The sequence below is a fragment of the Homo sapiens genome, chromosome 16, assembly GCF_000001405.40.
Source record: "Homo sapiens chromosome 16, GRCh38.p14 Primary Assembly".
In the NCBI taxonomy this organism is placed as follows: domain Eukaryota; kingdom Metazoa; phylum Chordata; class Mammalia; order Primates; family Hominidae; genus Homo; species Homo sapiens.
The window spans coordinates 66,839,341-66,859,477 of NC_000016.10; the positions used below are offsets into that span (position 1 = coordinate 66,839,341).

At 52.7% G+C, this 20,137-nt stretch overlaps 1 protein-coding gene and 1 long non-coding RNA gene across 4 annotated transcripts in view, besides 2 other annotated features; one reads left to right on the forward strand and one right to left on the reverse strand.

Moving 5' to 3' along the window:
- Positions 1–2,092: 2,092 nt before the first annotated feature.
- LOC124903699 (uncharacterized) overlaps positions 2,093–20,137 on the reverse strand; it is a 31,823-nt gene continuing 13,778 nt past the window's right edge. The window contains exons 2-4 of the long non-coding RNA XR_007065088.1: positions 18,348–18,398; positions 14,065–14,345; positions 2,093–2,482 (exon numbers count right to left, since the gene is read on the reverse strand). This is a non-coding gene — a long non-coding RNA (uncharacterized LOC124903699). The remainder of the gene's footprint in view (positions 2,483–14,064; positions 14,346–18,347; positions 18,399–20,137) is intronic.
- Positions 5,002–5,503: an enhancer, noted in NCBI's record as "H3K4me1 hESC enhancer chr16:66878245-66878746 (GRCh37/hg19 assembly coordinates)". NCBI's record gives its function as "activates a minimal SCP1, AML or CMV promoter by ChIP-STARR-seq in primed H9 embryonic stem cells {active_cell/tissue: H9 hESC(primed)}" and the evidence as "EXISTENCE:reporter gene assay evidence [ECO:0000049][PMID:30033119]".
- Positions 5,074–14,807, forward strand: CA7 (carbonic anhydrase 7). Of its 3 annotated transcripts, none has more exons than NM_005182.3 (7): positions 5,074–5,187; positions 7,690–7,887; positions 11,201–11,319; positions 12,123–12,218; positions 12,324–12,386; positions 13,372–13,527; positions 14,036–14,807. In NM_005182.3, exons 1-7 carry the CDS (start codon positions 5,148–5,150, stop codon positions 14,156–14,158), a joined length of 795 nt encoding a protein of 264 aa, NP_005173.1. In that variant the 5' UTR covers positions 5,074–5,147; the 3' UTR covers positions 14,159–14,807. The 3 variants fall into 3 exon arrangements, with proteins under 3 accessions (NP_005173.1, NP_001014435.1, NP_001352266.1); NM_001014435.2 differs by lacking the exon at positions 5,074–5,187 and adding an exon at positions 5,589–5,894; NM_001365337.2 differs by lacking the exon at positions 5,074–5,187 and adding an exon at positions 5,589–5,698.
- Positions 19,772–19,972: a silencer, noted in NCBI's record as "peak2618 fragment used in MPRA reporter construct". NCBI's record gives its function as "represses an SCP1 promoter by STARR-seq MPRAs in K562 erythroleukemia cells {active_cell/tissue: K562}" and the evidence as "EXISTENCE:reporter gene assay evidence [ECO:0000049][PMID:32103011]".

The window sequence follows — 20,137 nt, forward strand, 5'->3', positions numbered from 1 at the left end:
GTTGGCTTAGGCAAGGATTTCATGACCAAGAACCCAAAAGTGAATGCAATAGAAACGAAGATAAATAGTTGGGACTTAATTAAACTAGAGAGCTTTTGTACAGCAAAAGGAACAGTCAGCAAAGTAAACAGACAACCCACAGAGTGGGAGAAAATCTTCACAATCTATACATTTGACGAAGGACTAATATCCAGAATCTACAAGGAACTCAAACAAATCAGTAAGAAAAAAACAAACAATCCCATCAAAAAGTGGGCTAAGGACATGACTAGACAATTCTCTAAAGAAGATATACAAATGGCCAACAAACATATGAAAAAATGCTCAACATCATTAATGATCAGGGAAATACAAATCAAAACCACAGTGTGATACCACCTTACTCCTGCAAGAATGGCCATAATTAAAAAATCAAAAAACAGTAGATGTTGGCATGGATCCGGTGATCAGGGAACACTTCTACACTGCTGGTAGCAATGTAAACTAGTACAGCCACTACGGAAAACAGTGTGGAGATTCCTTAAAGAACTAAAAGTAGAACTACCATTTGATCCAGCAATCCCACTACTGGGTATCCACCCAAAGGAAAATAAGTCATTATATGAAAAAGATATTTCCACACACATGTTTATGGCAGCACAATTCACAATTGCAAAATCGTGGAACCAACCCAAATGCCCATCAATCAACGAGTTGATAAAGAAACTGTGGTATATGTATATATGATGGAATACAACTCAGCCATAAAAAGAAATGAATTAACAGCATCTGCAGCAACCTAGATGAGATTGGAGACTAATATTCTAAGTGAAGTAACTCAGGAATGGAAAACCAAACATCGTATGTTCTCACTGATATGTGAGAGCTAAGTTATGAGGATGCAAAGGCATAGGAATGATACAATGGACTGTAGGGACCTGGGGGAAAGAATAGAAGGAGGGTGAGGGATAAAAGACTGCAAATATGGTGCAGTGTATACTGCTCTGGTGATGGGCGCACCAAAATCTCACAAATCACCAGTAAAGAACTCACTCATGGCCCAGCACGGTGTCTCACGCCTGTAATCCCAGCACTTTGGGAGGCTGAGGCGGGCGGATCACGAGGTCAGGAGATCGAGACCATCCTGGCCAACATGGCGAAAACCCGTCTCTACTAAAAATACAAAAATTAGCTGGGCATGGTGGCACATGCCTGTCATACCAGCTACTTGGGAGGCTGAGGCAGGAGAATCGCTTGAACCAGGGTATCGGAGGTTGCAGTGAGCCGAGATCGCACCACTGCACTCCAGCCTGGCAACAGAGCAAGACTCCGTCTCAAAAAAAAAAAAAAAATCACTCATGTAACCAAATACCACCTGTACCCCAATAACTTATGGAAAAAATAAAAATATAATTAAAAAAGGAAACCTTGGCAGGATGGTCACTAAAATGTTAACAGTGGTGATCCTTGAGTAGTGACATGACCAGTGATTTTAATTTTCTGCTGTATGCTTTTCTGACTTCCAAATTTTCTACAATAGATGTCACTACTATAATTAGAGAAGAAATATTTGGGATTTTAAATGTACCCAACAAGGCCGGGCATAGTGGCTCACACCTGTAATCCTAGCACTTTGGGAGACTGAGGTGGGAGGATCCCTTAAGGCCAGGAGTTTGAGACCAGCCTGGGCAATATAGTGAGACCCCTGTCTCTATATAATCTTTAAAAAAAAAAGAAAAAAGGAAGTGAAAGTTGGAGGCCAAGGTCGTTTGATGAATGAGACTTGGCTGTACAGGCTGCTCATGCCTTCCTCCCCCAGGCCTCCATCACAGCCCTCACATCCCCCATTTTCCCCTCCCATATAAATAGCAAAAACCAGGAGCCACTGACACCAGTGAGACCAAAGAGAAAACTCTCAAGCAGAGAAATCAACTCGGCTTTAAAAACAGCATGTAATTGAGACTGGAGGCACCTGAATGGAGGCACAGGCTCCCCCAAGTTGACCTGAGTGGGTTGCTGGGGCAGCTGGCGCTTCACCTTAGAAGGGCAGTCTCCATTGTCTCCTCTCACTTTCCTGAGTTCCCAGTACCCAGAGAAAATGCTGAAGACAGGCTGCAGGAAGGAAAGAACTGGATCAACTTTTATTTGGTTGTTAAAGAGGTAATACATGCCTTAATTCATTCAAGAGATACAAAGGAGTACCAGTAAAGAGTGTCCTTCCCACGCCATACCACACCCTTCCACAACCTTCCACAACCTTCCGGTGTCCAGTCTCCTCCCTGTAGGTAAACACTCTCCCTAGCTTCTCCTAAGTCCTTTTAGAGAGGACTTGCATACACACACAAATGAGAGTCAAATTTAAAATCCGCTTCCTCCCTTTCCAGTGATTTTGGACAATATTGAACGAGGGACCCAGCAGCCCTGGGTTTTCATCTTTGTTCAGTCACTCACTGTGCATCTTCGAGCCCATCACTCATCCTCTCTTGAGCTTTGCTTTTCTCATCTGTAAAATGGGGTAAAAATCCCCCCAGGGTTACTATGTAGATGAAGTTGGATGCAAAACTATATGAAGAATTCCAATTGTATCTTTTTTTTTTTTGACACAGAATCTCACTCTGTAGCCCAAGCTGGAGTGCAGTGGTGCAATCTTGGCTCGCTGCAACCTCCGCCTCCTGGACTCAAGCAATTCTCATGCCTCAGCCTCCCGAGTAGCTGGGACTACAGGCACCTGCCACCATGCCTGGCTAATTTTTTGTATTTTAGTGGAGACGGGATGTCACCATGTTGCCCAGGATGGTCTTCAACTTCTGAGCTCAGGTAATCCGCCCGCCTCAGCCTCCCAAAGTGCTGGGATTACAGGCATGAGCTACTGTGCCAGGCCCAGTTGTATCTTTTAAGAACTACAAATAAATATGAAAAAGACCTGAGTCCCTCTGAAGAGGAAATGGGTCAATGGAGTTTGGGCTATCCCCAGAGCTCTCTCCCAGGTAAAGGATGTTGGCAGCTCTCCCAGGTAAAGGGTGGCTGGCTTCTCTGGGAGACAGAAGGTCCAGGCCTCACCCAGAAGCATGCCTTTGTCTTCTTGATCTGTAGATGCCATTTCCAGCTTGGAGACCTGGGGCCTTGACAGTGTTGGATTCTCTGTCACATCTGGTCTTGGGGGCTACTTATCTCTGTCATAAGTCCCCTGCCCCACCCTAGGGTCATATTTATATTAAGGATCCCTTCCTGCTCCTGGATCAGAGAGGGCCATCTTCGCAGGCCTGGGCAGTCACTGACATTGGCCCACCCAACCAGTTATCAATTAATCTCCATAGCTCTATCTGAGGATCTGGGGTTCAGGGCCTGGGAGAGGGAAACTGAGACAGACACAGAGATGAAGGGGAGCCAGGCAGACAAGATGGCAGATTCCTGTACAAGGTCAGCCAAGAGCAGGGCCTGAAAGAGTGTCTCTATTCAAGATCTGGACAGCAGACATTGTACTAGTGGCTGTTCGACTCCTGCTGAGTACAGGACCCCGGGTGGGATCATTTATCTGTCCTTCCATCCACCCCTCTGTTTGTCTTTCCAAAACTGCCTGCTGAGGACTAGCCAGAGACAAGCCCTCTCCCTGGCACAAGGCCACGTGCTAAGATGAATCAGATTGGGCCGGCTGGAGCCAGTGGGTGGAAGACAGAGGACGCACCAGGTGGAGGGCACAACAACGACCAGGGCTCGTGGGTGGGAAAATACTGGGCCAAGGCAGGCACTGGGGTTGAGTGCAGGGTGGAGGGTCTGAGCTCCCAGGGGGTGTACTGAAGGTTATGGGGAGGTCAGGAGAGGAGGGACAAACAGCAGGCTATGGAGGGACAAAGCAGAGTCCCTGAAGAAAGGAGGAAGCAGTAGACAAAATAACAGGGAGGGTGGAAGTCAGAGCCTCAGACTTAGCTCCATGGGGAAGCCACCTGGTGTCTGCCTGTCTTCAGGCCCATTGGTTGATGCCACTCCTTCTCACTCCCCCTTGGGGGATCTGGTTCCACCTGGGCCAAGGGTTCACATTGCCATTCCTGTCCCTGCATCTACCCCAGGGTTCCCGGACCCCCACACTCACAGCACACCCTTGTACCCAGCACCAAGGAGAAATGGTAAAGACCCCAGTGTCAGGCCAGGAGTGGTGGCTCACTCCTCTAATCCCAACACTTTGGGAGGCCAAGGCGGGTGGATTACTTGAGGCCAGAAGTTCAAGACCAGCCCAGGCAACATGGTGAAACCCCCATCTCTACAAAAAACACAAAAATTAGCTGGATGTGGTGGCACACACCTGTAATCCCAGCTACTTGGAAGGCTGAAGCAGAAGAATCACTTGAATCAAGGAGGTGGAGGTTGCAGTGAGCTGATATAGCACCAGCCTGGGTGACAGAGCAAGACTCTGTCTAAAAACAAACAAGCAAACAAACAAACAAACAAACAAATCCCACAAAACCCCCAGTGTCTGGAGTAAGAACCCCAGCTAATGAACCCTTTACCCCCTGGCTAGATGACCTTGGGCAAGTCACTTCACTTCTCTGGGCCTCACTCCCCTCCTCTGTCAGATAGGGCTGATGGAAGCACCCAACCTTGTAGGGTAACAGAGAGGGTTATACCATAGGAAGGACCCAAAGCTTGGTCCAGCGCCTGCAACAGCCTCTGGCAAACAGTGGAAGCTCCAGTTTTGGACACTTGATGGTCAGTGTAGTTTGCAGTTTAAAGGGGACTTTCCAACCCCAAAAGATTCAGGACCCAGAGCTCAGGTCTCTGGTGGTGGCATTTGCAGGTCTGGGGCAAGCCTAGGGAAGGGACGCCATGTGCGGCACGGGCATCTAGTGTCCCAGAGTCCGCACGGGTTGCTGGGGGAAAAAGAGGGATAGTCGCCCAGCCAGGGCAGGGGTGGGAGTTGGGGGGAGAGGGTTACTTCCTCCTGCCCTGAATCTCCGCTCGGGGTTCAACTGGCTCGCCGGCGGGCGAGGGCGGGGCAGGCCGGCCTCTCTGGCCCTGCTGGGGGGTGGGGGGCGGGTCCCCCGGGAACTGCTCCTCCCGCCAGCCGCTGCTTTAAGAGGCTGCTCCGCGGTAGCGAGCGGGGCCGGAGCCGCAGCCCGAACGAGCGGACCGAGCCGACCGGGCAGGTGCACGGCTGCGGGGACGGCAGCGGCATGACCGGCCACCACGGCTGGGGCTACGGCCAGGACGACGGTAGGCACAGACCTCCCCCACCGCCTCTGGCTCGGACCCCCGACCCAACTGCACTCGCCCCAACCCTCTTGCCCAGCTGGTTTCCCAGACCGGAAAGCTCCCACACTCCAGGCTGGGCGGGACCCCTCTTCCCATCCCGGCCCCCGAACTTGGCCCAAGCCTTGGTCCCCCGCGCCAGACGCAAAGTCCGCGCTGCGCCCCGGGTGGCCCCGCCGCCAGCAAGCGACCTGGCGGCTGTGTCCTGCCGCCTCCTCCGCGAAGCCCCTGATTGCCCAGCCCGCTCAGACCCAGGCCCAGACTCTCACTCACTCGCCCCGGGCGTGCGCAGCGCGTGGGGGTGGCCCAGGGCAGCGGGGGGCGGGCGCCGCGGAGCGCTGTGCGCGGGTGTCTGCGGGGAGCGCGCACGGCAAGTGAGCGGGGACCTCGGGGGAGCGGGGCTCCGCGTGGCAAGGGCGCAGTGTCCCCCGGAGAGAATTTCCCCGCAGAAGTGGCCGAGCTGCCTTCTCGGCCGGTACGTGAGGGAAGGGGGCACTTGGGGGCGCAAGCATGTGTCTGGGTGTCTACACCGAGCAGGGTGTTTGCGCACGTCCGGGTGTGAGTCGTGGGAGCCCGTGGCCCACACCAGCCTCCTGGGCTGACGCGGAAGAGAGCTCCTTCATCCTGCCTCAGTTTCCTTAGGACTCAGAGAAAGGGAGAAGAGGCAGAAGGTGAGAGCCAGACGGCTGGAGTGTGGGTCTGGGGCAGTCAATTCCCTTTGGGGCCATTTCTTACCAAGCAGGGGTGGGGGTGTGGGGTAAGGGGTTCCCTATTTCCCTGGGGAGCCAGTGCAAGACAGGTGGGGTGCGGAGAAGAAAAAGTAATGATGGGAGGAACATCCCCCAGCCCCACTCCTCTGCGGAGAGGCAGTCACTTTGTGAGGTTGGGTGGGGGACCACAGTCTGGGAAGCCAGAAAGTTGCAGTAGACCAGAGGGAGGGTGCTGTGGAGTCTTTGGCTCCCTCTGGGGCCCCAAGAACAAAGGAGCATATTTTGGAAGAGAACCCCCAGATCTGGGTATGCAAGAGCTGGAAAGAGACATTCAGAAAAAGATGATATAGACAAGCAGAGAGGGAGAGACAGGCAGACATGGGGCAGATGGACAGGACCCATAGGGATCATCTTCTCCCAGCACCTGCTCTGAGCCACCTTTTGGGTGCTTCCCCCAGAGCCAGAGTCCCCTGCCTCCAGCTCTTCTTGCTAGTCATGCCCACCAGCTCTGAGCACCCAGTGTCCTGTGTAGCCTGCTCCATGGGCCTGCTCCCCCAAAGCAGCCACCCCATCACCCAGGCAGAGCTGGATTGTCCAGTCGAGGAAGGGAAGGACAGAGGACAGAGGTGCCGGCATGCAGCAGTGTTCACAGGGCTTCAAAAATAACCCAGAGGGGCCGGGCCACGATTCTGAGTCATCCATTGGGGACACGGCTCTGTCGGCACCTGCTGCTGTTTTCTCAGGAAAACTTAAGAAGCCAAAAAGGGGGAGAAGCACCAGCCGGCAGTAGCTCTAAAAATAGGCTGCATCTCAGGATGTTCCCCAGGGAGATGCTGAGCCTCTCGGCTGCAGATGGATCCTCTGGGAGGCAGGTGGTGGGCGCCTGTGGGTGTGTATGCAGGTGTGTGTGTGTGTGTGTGTGTGTGTGTGCATGGGCATGTGTTTTGCTGTGGTCCTTTATGCAAACTTGGGTCTCCAACAGAGGGGTTTGTGTGTGAGAGAGCATATGCGTGTGTCAGATGTAGTCTGCAGGGCTGTGTGTGTGTTTGTACACATGAATGTTCTGGGCCTGGCTGCTCTGTGTGCACAATGGAAGATCATAGAAAGATTAATGTGTTCATAGGAAGATCTCTATGGACTTGCAGGCACACACATTGGGAGGGCAGCTGGGGGCAGTGCATGCACATGCTGTATTTATATTAGTACATATGCATGCACACATGTGTGAGTGGCCCTCAGTTCCCTCATCTGTGAAATGGGGATCTTGCTGGTTTCTATTTCACAAGGTGGTTGTGAGAGGCAAATACATGTCACAGAGTCAAAGCTAGGTTGATGTGAGTTTTTGTTGTTATTTATCACAAACACCAACACCAAATTGCCCAAGGCACAGAAAGAGGTGAGATACTGATGGGGTCAGGTCAGAGACTTCAGATGTCTGGAGGTCTCCCTGTTGGGGAGACTTATTACTCTGAGCCACCCCGAGCCTGTAGCTGTTATGTTCCCTTCCATACAGTACCTCTCTGGGCCTCCTATCAGCACTGGAAGGTGAGTTTTAGTGAGACCATTTCACAGACAAAGAAATGGAGGCTGAAAGGGGAAATGGCAAAGCTGGGATTGGAACTCCAAGCTGTGCAGCTCCAATGCAGGGGCTCACCTCTGAAAGGATGCTGAAGAGACCATTCCCCTATGGGTGTCCTCGGCCTGAAGCCCAGAGATCCTGGCTGGCCTGAGTCCTTGCCCTCCTCCCCACCTGCAGGCCCCTCGCATTGGCACAAGCTGTATCCCATTGCCCAGGGAGATCGCCAATCACCCATCAATATCATCTCCAGCCAGGCTGTGTACTCTCCCAGCCTGCAACCACTGGAGCTTTCCTATGAGGCCTGCATGTCCCTCAGCATCACCAACAATGGCCACTCTGTCCAGGTAGACTTCAATGACAGCGATGACCGAACCGGTAAGTGGCCCCTGCCAAAGCCTGGCACCTGGCCCCTGGCCCCTTAGGGTCCTAACCTTGTGTTGGGCAGTCTCAGGAAGCATGCTATGGTGGGTAAGAAAGGTTCCTCCTCTCACCAGCTGTGAAGCCTTGGGCTGATCTTCAGTCTCCTTATGTATAAAGTGAGAGCAATAAGACCTACCCTCTTAGGTCATAGAGGGGAAAAATGAAAAAACCAAGTAAGGTCGATAGATCTGGCACACAGCAGATGCTCAGGAAATGCTAATTTCTTTCCTTCCCTTCCTTCCCTTCCTTGTGGTGCTACAGATCAGGTTTGTTTTCACTCTCTGCCCCATCACTGACCTGCCAAGCCCTCCTCGCTGTGTGATCTGGCCAAGCCTAGCAGGGAGAGAGAAGGGAGCTAAAATTTACAAGTGCCAAACCCCTTGCTAAAGTCACAAGCCGCTCATTTATTCTTCTCAATAACCCATCTCTCAGATGGGCAAATAGAGGCTTGATGAGCTGGGGAGGGCCAGAAGCAGCCTGGTCCAGCCTGAAGGTCTCTCTCTCTCTCTCCAGTTCACCTATGACTTCAAGGTCCAACCATCTTGGGCCAGTAAGAGGCCAGTGGGAATTCGTGGCAGCTCCTTCCAAGGCCTCTTTGCCCTGGGATTAGAGTCCAGATTCTTTCATGATAAATTCCTAGACAGGAGTGCTGTTCATTGAAGGGATTTTCGTCCTTATGACTGGGCCTTACGACTGGGTAGAGTGGTGGAATGGGGCGAGGAAGAAACCTACTAGAGTTTCTTGTGTAAGGAAGTATTAATAACTGGTTCCTTCCTCCTCCTTCTCCCCTCCCCACAAATACAATAAAAGCCCTCAAAGGAACTTAAGTTTCAAATGGAAAATTAAAAGGCAAAGAGGATGAAGGAAGCCAGACCTTTCATGAGAAGAGTGATCTTACTTAGTTCTGAGTTCCCTGGTAGGCTAGGAAAAAACAGAAAGAGGATTGATTATAGTTTTTGCTGCAAAAGAAAGGGAGTCTAGCAGATCCTCAGGAGAGAGACAAAGCATTTATTTCCTGGTACTGAATTCTAAGAAAAGCCTCTTACTCAGAGCTTTGGGGAGGGGGCGTGGGGCTCTAGCTGACCCTAGATGATAGTTTGGCAAGGAACAGTTTTCATATGACTGTCCCTTCTAACAGCCTTCAGAGGGCACTGGGGGCTCAACTAAGAAATCAGTAGCTCAATGAAGGCCACTGGGGTGGGAGAAGACACAGGGGGACATGCCTTTGGATTACTGATCTGGGGTGTTGCCTTCAGGCCTGGCTGGGGCTCCCTCCCCCACCCAGAATGCCCAGGCCGGAGGGCGCAGGAAGCCAGTGAAAAGAGGAATGAGATGGTGGGGCTCTGCCACTCACCCACTGTGGGTCACTCCAGAGGTCAGACGGGTTGATGCCAGCAGAGTGCCAAACACACATTGAGTGCCCCGTGAATGGCAGCACATTCTGTGTGTGAACTGGGGGAGGAGGCTAAGGGGTCCAAGGTCAAGGGGTGTTACGGAGGGAGCTCCCTCTCTAGGAGCCCACACTATAGGGTCCCAGGTGAGGCATGCTTTGGAGGGTGGCATCTGCAGACCTATCCAATTGCTTAGCCTGCAGGCTCAGCCGCTCCTGCTTCCAGGGATGGGGCAGCCTGATTAGGGCCCCACCCACAGCTACTACTCCCAGACTCCTAGCCAGTGCCCAGGTCTTGCCTCTTTGATAAGACCGGGCAAGAAAGAGGGACTTCTGGACTGTCCTGTCCTCCTGCTTAAGGAGGCCACAGGGCCAAAGCCCTACCCTGGTCACCCATCATGGAAGGGACCAGTGGAACTCTGAGCCTGGGGTGTTATCTGATCCAGGAGCTCACATTCAAGCCTAGCTGGGGCTCCCTCCACCTCCAGATCCCTTTCAGCTGGAAATTCTATCAGTCCCAGGAGGCCTCGTGCATGGCCCCAGCTCACTGGGTGTCAAGGCAAGAAAGTTACAAAGCCAGCACAAGTGGGGCCCTCAGAAGAGGCCATTTCTGGGGGAGGCGGCACTGGAGGCACCTGGGCCTGTCCAGGAAGGTAGAGACCCTCAGGAGCTACCCTCCTCTTCTGGAAAAGCACAAAGTTTAAAGAAGTTTCAAGGTTCTAGGGAGGCAGTGTTGCCTGGTGATTAGTGGCTTGGGCTTTGGACATAAGAGATACTAGTTCATACCCTAGTTCAGTGCCTTGCTGTGTGACCTTGAGCAAATGCCTCGTCATCACTGTGCCTCAGCTTCTCTCTTTGTAGAATATGGATAATAATAAGTTCTGTCCCTCATGGGCTACTATGCAGACTAAACAAAATAGTCTCTTCAACCTAGCCCTGGATCAGGGTTTCAGACATGGTAGGCCTAACTGTCAGTGATAATGGGGGTCCTGGGAGGCAGGGTCCCACCCTCCATGGGAAATCGGGCAGGAGCGGGGAGGACAGCTAGATAGAGAGCTGTCCTCTGTCAGTCCCAGACCCTTCTGCCACCTGCCGGCTGTCAGGATTTCTGCCCTGGCCCAGCTCAAGGGACAGGGGTCTAGGGGGCAGTGGGGACCAACCCAAGCCCAGTCAGCCCAGTGAATTTTCCAAATGAAAAATGTATCCCACACTTTGGAAGGCTGAGGTGGGCAGATCACCTAAGGTTGGGAGTTCGAGGCCAGCCTGGCCAACATGGTGAAACTCCCTTTCTACTAAAAATACAAAAAATTAGCCGGATGTGGTGGCAGGTGCCTGTAATCCCAGCTACTTGGGAGGCTGAGGCAGGAGAAATGCTTGAACCTGGGAGGTAGAGGTTGCAGTGAGCTGAGATTGTGCCACCACTGTACTCCAGCCTCGGTGACAGAGCGAGACTCCATCTCAAAAAAAAAAAAAAAAAAAAAGGAAAAATGTATCTCAGCTGGCACAGTGGCTCGTGCCTGTAATCCCAGCATTTTGGGAGGCCAAGGCAGGAGGATTGCTTGAGCCCATGAGTTCAAGACCAGCCTGGCCAACATAGAGAGACCCCATCTCTACAAAAAATAAACAAATTAGCTAGGTGTGGTGCCACATGCCTATAGTCCCAGCTACTCGGGGGGGCCAAGACAGGAGGATGGCTTGAGGCCAGGAGGTTGAGGCTATCATAAGCCATGTTTGCACCATGGCACTCCAGCCTGGGCAACAGAGCGAGACCCTGACTCAAAAAAAAAAATGTCCCTTTCCTGGGCTGCTGCCCTGGTCCTGGCACTGGGCTGTCGGTCCTCTCCTACTCATTGCCACTCGCCCCACTTCTACCCACAGTGGTGACTGGGGGCCCCCTGGAAGGGCCCTACCGCCTCAAGCAGTTTCACTTCCACTGGGGCAAGAAGCACGATGTGGGTTCTGAGCACACGGTGGACGGCAAGTCCTTCCCCAGCGAGGTACGGGCCCTCCTCCACTTGAATCCCTCTGCTACATGGGAAGGAACGCAGGCCTGGGTAGTCAGGGGCTTGAGGATGCCTGGGGTCGGGCCTTGGAGAGGGGGAAGAGGAGCACCCGGGGCCTTTGGGAGAGATATTTTCTACCCACCCCCAGCACAGGGTCTTCCATCTGACCCTGTCCACTGCTATCCTTCCTGGTCTGTGCGTCGTGGAGTTTTCTGAAGGGCTACCCAGTCCCACTGCAGCCTTGCTGACAGCCCTTTAAGGGTTGAGCCCAGTATTCAAGACTGTGCATGAACTGATCTTGCCTGGCCTCATCCTTCCCCTCACCTCTTCATACACTGAGCTGCATGTGACGAATCCCCTGTCCACACCTGGCTCCTTCATACCACCAAGCTTTGTCTGTGCTGTTCTCTCTGCCTGGAATGCCTTTCCCCAAGGCTTCCCTCTGATAACCCTCTGCTTATTCTCTGGACTCAGCTGTAGGCACCACCTCCTCAAGGAGGTGTCACGCTGGATGTTCATGATCGATTTCACAGCTCGTTCCCTGCAAGGCAGGGCTTGGGCCAGATTCCTCTTTGGGTCCCCCGGAGCCCAGAAAAGAATTGGGCCCAGAGTTGGGTGGATGCTACCTGTGACCCTCTGGGGCTCCCCTGGACCCCCCAGCATCCTAATCCTTGGAGGCTTGACAGCTTCCCCTTCCTGCAAAGAGGCCAGGGGTCTGGTGGGAGTGAGGGGAGCCTGGCTCAGAGTTCCCATTGCCTCTGGGAGGCACGAAGCATTGGCCTGTTGTTGCCCCATAGCTGCATCTGGTTCACTGGAATGCCAAGAAGTACAGCACTTTTGGGGAGGCGGCCTCAGCACCTGATGGCCTGGCTGTGGTTGGTGTTTTTTTGGAGGTGAGTGGTGGTTTGCTGGGGCCTGGAGGGGCATGGGAGGCCTGGCACTGCCCCTAGTTCTAGAACACAGTGGGCTCTGGGCTCACACTGCCCTCTCCCTGACAGACAGGAGACGAGCACCCCAGCATGAATCGTCTGACAGATGCGCTCTACATGGTCCGGTTCAAGGTAAAGTCCCTGCCCCTGACCCAAGCAGCCCGATGGGGAGAGAGGAAGAGGCTGGCTCACAAGTTGGGCCCTTCCAGTCCTTCATTCTGGGAGTAAACCCTTGCTGAGACCAAGGAGGAGGGTCAGCATCAGCAGGGCCCTGCACCTGATTCCTCATCGGGGTCAGCAGCCCCCTTGGGTGTCCAGCATGAAGCCCGGCTAGGTATAAAATTGATAAGATGCTTGTCACATTAATGGTGGTCTAATAGGCAATGTCATTGAGGGCAGCTGAAGGCAAGGGAGGGAAGATCGTGGCCAAATACCTCCAGGAGCCACAGCTTTTACATACAAGCAAACGGATGAGAGGGCCCGGCTCAGGCTGGAAGATGGCATCTGGGATCACAGACATTTGCTCACAATTTGCATCAGTGGACACAGAGAGGCCTAAATCCTGCTGATAGAAATGGGTGGAGAATGCCGGGCATGGTGGCTCATGCCTGTAATCCCAGCACTTTGGGAGGCCGAGGCAGGCGGATCACTTGAGGTCAGGAGTTCAAGACCAGCCTGGCTAACATGGTGAAACCCTGTCTCTACTAAACATACAAAAATTAGCCAGGTATGGTGGTGCATGCCTACAATCTCAGCTACTTGGGAGGCTGAGAGAGGAGAATTGCTTGAACCCAAGAGGCAGAGGTTGCAGTGAGCCGAGATCGTGCCACTGCACTCCAGCCTGGGTGACAGAGTGAGACTCCACCTCAAAAAAAAAGAAAAAGAAAAAGAAAGAAAGAAAGAGAGAGAGAGGGGAAGGAAGGAAGGAAGGAAGGGAAAGGAAGGAAGGAAGGAAGAAAGAAAGAAAGAAAGAAAAAGAAAGAAAAGAAAAGAAAAAAAAAAGAAAAGAAAAGAAAAAAGAAAAGAAAAAAGAAAGAAAGAGATGGGTGGAGAAGTTGCTGGTTTGGTCCCAGTGGGAGGTCTATGCTGATTCCTGGGTTCCTCCACCTTGTTCCAGGGCACCAAAGCCCAGTTCAGCTGCTTCAACCCCAAGTGCCTCCTGCCTGCCAGCCGGCACTACTGGACCTACCCGGGCTCTCTGACGACTCCCCCACTCAGTGAGAGTGTCACCTGGATTGTGCTCCGGGAGCCCATCTGCATCTCTGAAAGGCAGGTGAGTCCTCTCAGAGGACCAGATGGAGGGACATGGCACTCAGGGCTCACCCCAGGCAGTGTGACTCTCCAACTAGCACCCCACAGCCCGTGATCCCACCTTCAAGGTTCCTCCCCATTTTTTACTAATAAATGTATAGATTCTTGGTTGGGAGTTAGCTTGATTGTTAATCACCAGAACCTAGACACTGGCTGGGAGCGGGGATACCTGGATCCTGGGACCCCCACCCCCGCTACTGTGTTGGAATCTGAATGCTACATTTGCTGATAAGTCTTAGCTAGATGGGCTTGGAACTAGAACTAGGTAAAGCAGAGCCCAGACCCTTTAGTGAGTAAATAAATGAGGGTCCTGCAGAGAAAAATGAGTGGGGAAGAGTAGGGACAGACCCTAAGGGAAGGAGGAGGGAGGGGTAGAGCTGGCTGGGCAGGTATGCCAGATGATGCATCTGGGGTCATAGAGGACCACAGCACCCCCAATCTGCCCTGAGCATTCCTTCTGCTTCCTCAAGATGGGGAAGTTCCGGAGCCTGCTTTTTACCTCGGAGGACGATGAGAGGATCCACATGGTGAACAACTTCCGGCCACCACAGCCACTGAAGGGCCGCGTGGTAAAGGCCTCCTTCCGGGCCTGAGCTGCCCATCTGCCTAGCCGGCCACTAGGGCACCATCTTCTCAAGGGCTTCCATGTCAGCAGACACCAAACCATCTGAGGCTTCCTCCCTGGGGGGTGCTGGGGACCCTCCTTCAGCCAGTTTGCTCCTTGGTCACCCTGGAGGCTTCTGGATGGGACCCTTGAGTCTGGGGCACCCTTCAGCTGCCCTGGGGACAGGAAGGACAGGAGCTAAGCAGGGTCCAAGCCTGGGGCTGCCTCTGCTCTCCAAGACCCAAAGACCCTGGGAACCTCCTCTGGTCTTCCCCACTGGCAGTGGCAGCAGCCCCACCCCGAGCGCACACTGTGATGGAGGAGACTGAGCTCCCTGGGGCGGGCAGCTGACACTACCAGAGAGACTCAAGCAATAATTAGAGGTGGGCAGAGCTGCCCTCTCGGCATTACCTCTTCTGCAGGCTCTGCCATGCACGCACCTCACTGCCAGGCCATTAAAATCAGCACCCAGCATGCTGGAGGTGACGTGGCCTTCTCCCTCCAGCCACCTGCTGCCACGGGCAGGCCCTGGCTATAGCTTATACAGTATCTCCCCTTGTCCCCACCCAGTCACCAAAGCCACCTACATGACAGTCCATCCCTGTTGAATTAATAAATTAATGTATCCATGCAACAAATACCAATTGAGTGCTTGTGCTGTCTCTAGTACCGTCCTAGGCTTTGGGGAGCAATGGTGGTGAGTTAAGCACTATGTGTTGGGAGGGATATGAGTGGTGAGCAGGTGAGGGTTACACAAAGGGCAGGGAAGGGGCTATGGGAGCAGATGAGAGGGGAAGACCATGTCACTCAGCAAAGAAATGCAATTCTGGTCAGGCGTGGTGGCTCACGCTTACAGTCCCAGCACTTTGGGAGGCCAAAGCAGGTGGATCACTTGAGCTCAGGAGTTCGAGAGCAGCCTGGCCAACTGCTGAAACCCCGTCTCTACTAAAATTACAAAAATTAGCTGGGTGATAGTGGTGTGCACCTGTAATCCCAGCTGCTCAGGAGCCTGAGGCAGGAGAATCGCTTGAACCCAGGAGGCAGAGGTTGCAGTGAGCTGAGGTCGCACCACTGTACCCCAGGCTGGGCGACAGAGCGAGGCCCTCTCAAACAGAAAGAAAGGAAGAAATGAAATTCCAACCAGTATTCCAAATCAGATAGAAGGGAACAGCATGTTTGAGGCCAAGGGAAGGGCAAGTGTGCAGGCTCAGAGGTGAGAGAGAGCCCAGTGTGGTTGTGGGGCTCAAAAGGCTCAAAGGGGCTAGAGCCCTGGGGGAAACCTGGGACCCCCTCCCCAGGCTGACGGGGAGCTACCAAGGGCTTATAGTAGAGGAGGGGCAGGGCCAGGCCTGCAAATGGGGAACATCCCTGAGGAATGCGGATGGGCAGGCAGGAATGGTGGCAGGGAGCAAGGGGTGGCCTGTGTCCAGGCGGGAGGGGACAGGGTGGAGGGAGGTGGGAGACAGAGGGCTGGATGAGAGAGATTTAGGAGGTGGTGCCCAAAAGACAGTGTTTGGCTGTTCAGGATAGAGAGGAGACCAGGGCATATCCCTGAGCAGAAAGTGGAGCCTTCACTTGCTCTGGGAACCCTACAGGGAGCTGGCCACATTGGACACGCAGCATTGTGGGGTCCTGGAAGGAAAATCTAAGGGGGCATGTGCCTTCAGGCCCAGGCCCTGCACACGCACAACCCCAAGAGGGGGTTTTATTTTTATTTTTATTTAATTTTACTTATTTATTTATTTATTTATTTATTTATTTATTTATTTATTTATTTTTGAGACGGAGTCTTGCTCTGTAGCCCAGGCTGAAGTGAGTGGCATGATCTCAGCTCACTGCAACCTCCGCCTCCCAGGTTCAAGCAATTCTCCTGCCTCAGCCTCCCGAGTAGCTGGGATTACAGGTGCGCACCACCATGCCCGGCCAATTTTTGTATTTTTAGTAGAGATGGGGTTTCACCATGTTGGTCAAGCTGGTCTCGAATTCCTGACCCCAAGTAATCCACCCACCTGGGCCTCCTAAAGTGCTGGGATTACAGGTGTGAGCCACCGTGCCTGGCCCTAGAGTGCTTTTTTTTAAATGTGCATCCTCACCCTAGTCCCTAGTCCAAGTCCAAAAAAGTGCCCAAGGGCAAGTTCACAGTTGGGCTTAGAGACCAAGTGATGATTGTGACCCAGATGAGACAGCGGCAGGAGCCGGAGACAGACACTGGGGGTGCTGAGGAGTGAGGGGAGGTGAGAAACTGGGACCTCACATGCATAAGTTTAGTTGTGAAGGGGGAGAAAGGGACAGTGGAGGGGGCTGCGGGGAGATGGAATGTCCGAACACCCTTGGGAAGGAGGCCCCACTGCAGGGCCAGGAGGGGCTGGTGGTGCATGTCATCAGCTCACTTTGACCACAGCTCCTGTCAATGTTACTATACCAGAAGGGAACTCCCAGGCCACAGGGCACTTTTGGGTCTTAGATTAACTTTGACCTCAGTGATCTGGGGAAGGGAGAGGCTTGCTCTATGGACCCCCCTCCCACTCCCATGCTTAGGGCAAACCTGTCTCCGGAGTGGGGAGGAATGGGGTATACAGGAGGAGCAGGCCAAATAGAGAGTTACCCTGCAGGCGCCCCTGGCCTGATCTAGGTAGGGGCCATTTTCTCCCTCCACTTTTGAGGAGATGGTGAGGAGAGGGAGAGAGGTGTCTGGAGGACAACATTTGCTCAGCTTGGAGGCAGGCAGCTGTGGTAACAGGGAAGCAACGCCAGTAATGTTCCTGTTAAAGCAGGTAAAGGGCCTGAGGCAGACGTCCAGCTCTCCCTGCGATCCAAGAACTGCTGTTACCCCATTTTACAGATGAGGATGATGAGGCTCAGGGAGGTTAGGTAGGCAGGTCACAGAGCAGGATTTGAACCAGGATCTGTCCAGTAACTCTTCTACTCTATACTAGAGCAACTGGGCTCAAAGGAGGGTGGGATGGGTATGGTGGTGGCCATCTGGAGGTGGCATAATAGCCCCAATGCTGCTAACTGTGCCAGGGACCCTGTCCAGCCCCTCCCAGGGATGGTGGCATCACAGGCCCGGCGCTGCAGAGGACTTGGAAAATGGGAGCTGGTTTTATAATAATTACCCCGAGACTGCCAAGAATCCTCACTCCCTAAGTCCTTTCCCTTATTCACTTTTTAAATTTAAAACTATTTTAAAGCTGAAAGTGGCCTCCTTATGTTATAATTACAGCCCCAGATTTGACCCTATTATATCCAAATGGGATGTCCCAGCTGGATCCCAGCACACCTGGCCTCAAGGGACCCAGGACTGGGTCCTAAGTCCTCATTCAGGACAAGATTTTCCCCTGGAAGTGATGCTGGGGACATTTGGGACACCCAAGACAAGATGAGCTCTACTTGCTCCCAGGACCCCAGAGGGGCCCTCCCTGGGCAGCCAGTGGTGGCCCTTGGATTGATCCAGGCAGGGCTGTGGGCCTGCCAGCAGCCACAGCCTGCGGAGTCTGTGCCCAGGCAAGGGTCACAGTCTTCCCTCCAGTGCAGGCTGTGGGCCCCAGAGCAAGTCCCTTCTATGGGGCGGGCCTCAGGAGGTGGGATGGTTGTGAAGATCTGATCCCCCTGAAGCTCCTTCTGCAGAGGGCTGTCTTCCAATCCCATGGTCACCCTATAGCTGCTGCTGTTGCAAAGGCTTGGGAGTGTCCCCTCATGGCTAGCGCTGGACACATACCCACTGGCGTGCTCATCTGTGGGGAGAGTGATCTGTGGACTGAGCAACAGCTGGAGACAGGAACAGAAATAGGTCTGAGGTGGAGGTTGCAAGATAACCTGATAGTTGATGCCTGGGAGGGAGCCACAGCTGATGTCAAAGCTAAGAGGGGTTGGAGCAGGGCAGAAGGCTTTCGGATGCAGTTGGAGCTGGCCTGGGGTTGGGGAGAGAGGTCAGACAACAGCCTGAGCATCTTGGGGATCCTCTCGCATCCATGGGTCACAACATCAACTCTGAGGCCACCCTCAAAGGCCAAATGTACTGCTGGTTGGTCAAGACTCGGGGGGAGGAGGAGATGTGACTCTTTGATCACGAAATGTTCTGGCATTTATCCTCTAGCCAGAAGCAAGGCCTGGGGAATGTATCTCTTTTGAAGTCTTATCTGCTCACAAATCCAAGGGCCCACTTACCCGGGTCATACCTGGGTTTTGCACCATCTGTCACTCAAACCCTCTGAAGCTTATTTCCTCTTCTGTAAAATGGAAATGACGTGTGAGCCATTTTTGTAATTTAAAATTTTCTAATACTGATATAAAATATATAGAAAGAGACATAAGGCCGGGTGCAGTGGCTCATGTCTGTAATCCTAGCACTTTGGGAGGCTGAGGCAGGAGAATCACTTGAGCCTCGGAGTTCAAGACCATCCTGGGCAACATAGCAAGACCCTGTCTCAAAAACAAAAATGTAGCTGAGCACCGTGGCTCATACCTGTAATCCCAGCACTTTGGGAAGCCGAGGCGGGCGGATCACCTGAGGTCAGAAGTTCGAGACCACTCTGGCCAACATGGTGAAACCCCATCTCTACTAAAAATACAAAAATTAGCTGGGCGTGGTGGTGTGCACCTGTAATCCCAGGTACTTGGGAGGCTGAGACAGGAGAATCGCTTGAACCCAGGAGGCAGAGGTTGCAGTGAGCCAAGATCGCGCCACTGCACTCCAGCCTGGGCAACAGAGCAAGACTCAGTCTCAAAAAAAAAAAAAAGAAAAGAAAAATGTAAAAAGAAACAAGTCATTTAAATAATGTACTTAATTTAACCCAATTATATCCAAAATATATGCATTTTAATCTGTCACTAATATTAATAGAAAAAAACTAATGAAATATTTTACATTTTTTGTGCTAAGTCTTTGAAATCTAGTGTGTGCTTTACGCTCACAGTACATCTCAGCGTAGGGCAGCCCCATTTCATATGCTCAAAGCCTTATTTGTCAGTATATAGTTGGACATCTTTTTTTTTTTTTTTTTGGGACAGAGTTTCGCTCTTGTTGCCCAGGCTGGAGTGCAATGGTGCTATCTTGGCTCACTGCAACCTCAGCCTCCCGGGTTTAAGCAATTCTCCTGCCTCAGCCTCCCGAGTAGCTGGGATTACAGATGCCCGCCACCACACCCGGTTAATTTTTTATATTTTTAGTAGACACGTGGTTTCACCATATTGGCCAGGCTGGTCTTGAACTCCTGACCTCAGGTGAGCCACCTGCCTCAGCCTCCCAAAGTGCTGGGACTGCAGGCACGAGCCATTGCACCCAGACTGCACATCTTAAAAAAAAAAAAGAAAAAAAGAAAAAAGTCATATGTGGCCCAGTATGGTGGCATGTGCCTCTAGTCCCAGCTATTCAGGAGGCTGAGGCAAGAGGATTGCTTGAGGCCAGGACTTCAAGGGTGTATTGCATGATGATCACATCTGTGCATAATCACTGCACTCCAGCCTGGGCAACACAGTGAGACCCCATTGCTAATTTTAAAAAATAAGAAAAAGGAAAAAAAGCCATATGTGGCCATTGGCTACCATATTAGACAGTACAGTCCTAAATGGATGTCACTCTGCTGGACAGGTGTCTGAGAAAGCCCTCTGGCTGGGCGTGCAGCCAGGCAAAGTGGCAGGAATGAGTCAGATCTGCTCCCGGCCTCTGTCCTCCACGAGAGCAGCCTCAGAACATTTGATGCCAAATTGGCTCCCTCTGCTAGGGCCTTCCTCCCCCAGGAAACCTCTCTAACCCCACTTCACTCCAGTGTGGCTGGCTCTGCCCCAGGCCACCCTGAAGGGCCTTTCCTGTTCCACTGAGAGAAAGGCCAAGACCCTCAGCAAGGAACTGACTGCAGAGGAGTGTTGGGAGTCAGGGGAGGTGGTAGTCCTGGCTTGGTTGAGATTTGATTAGTCTGGGAGGGTTTCCTGGAGGAGGGGCCCAGAATAAAGAAGCTGGCATTCCAGG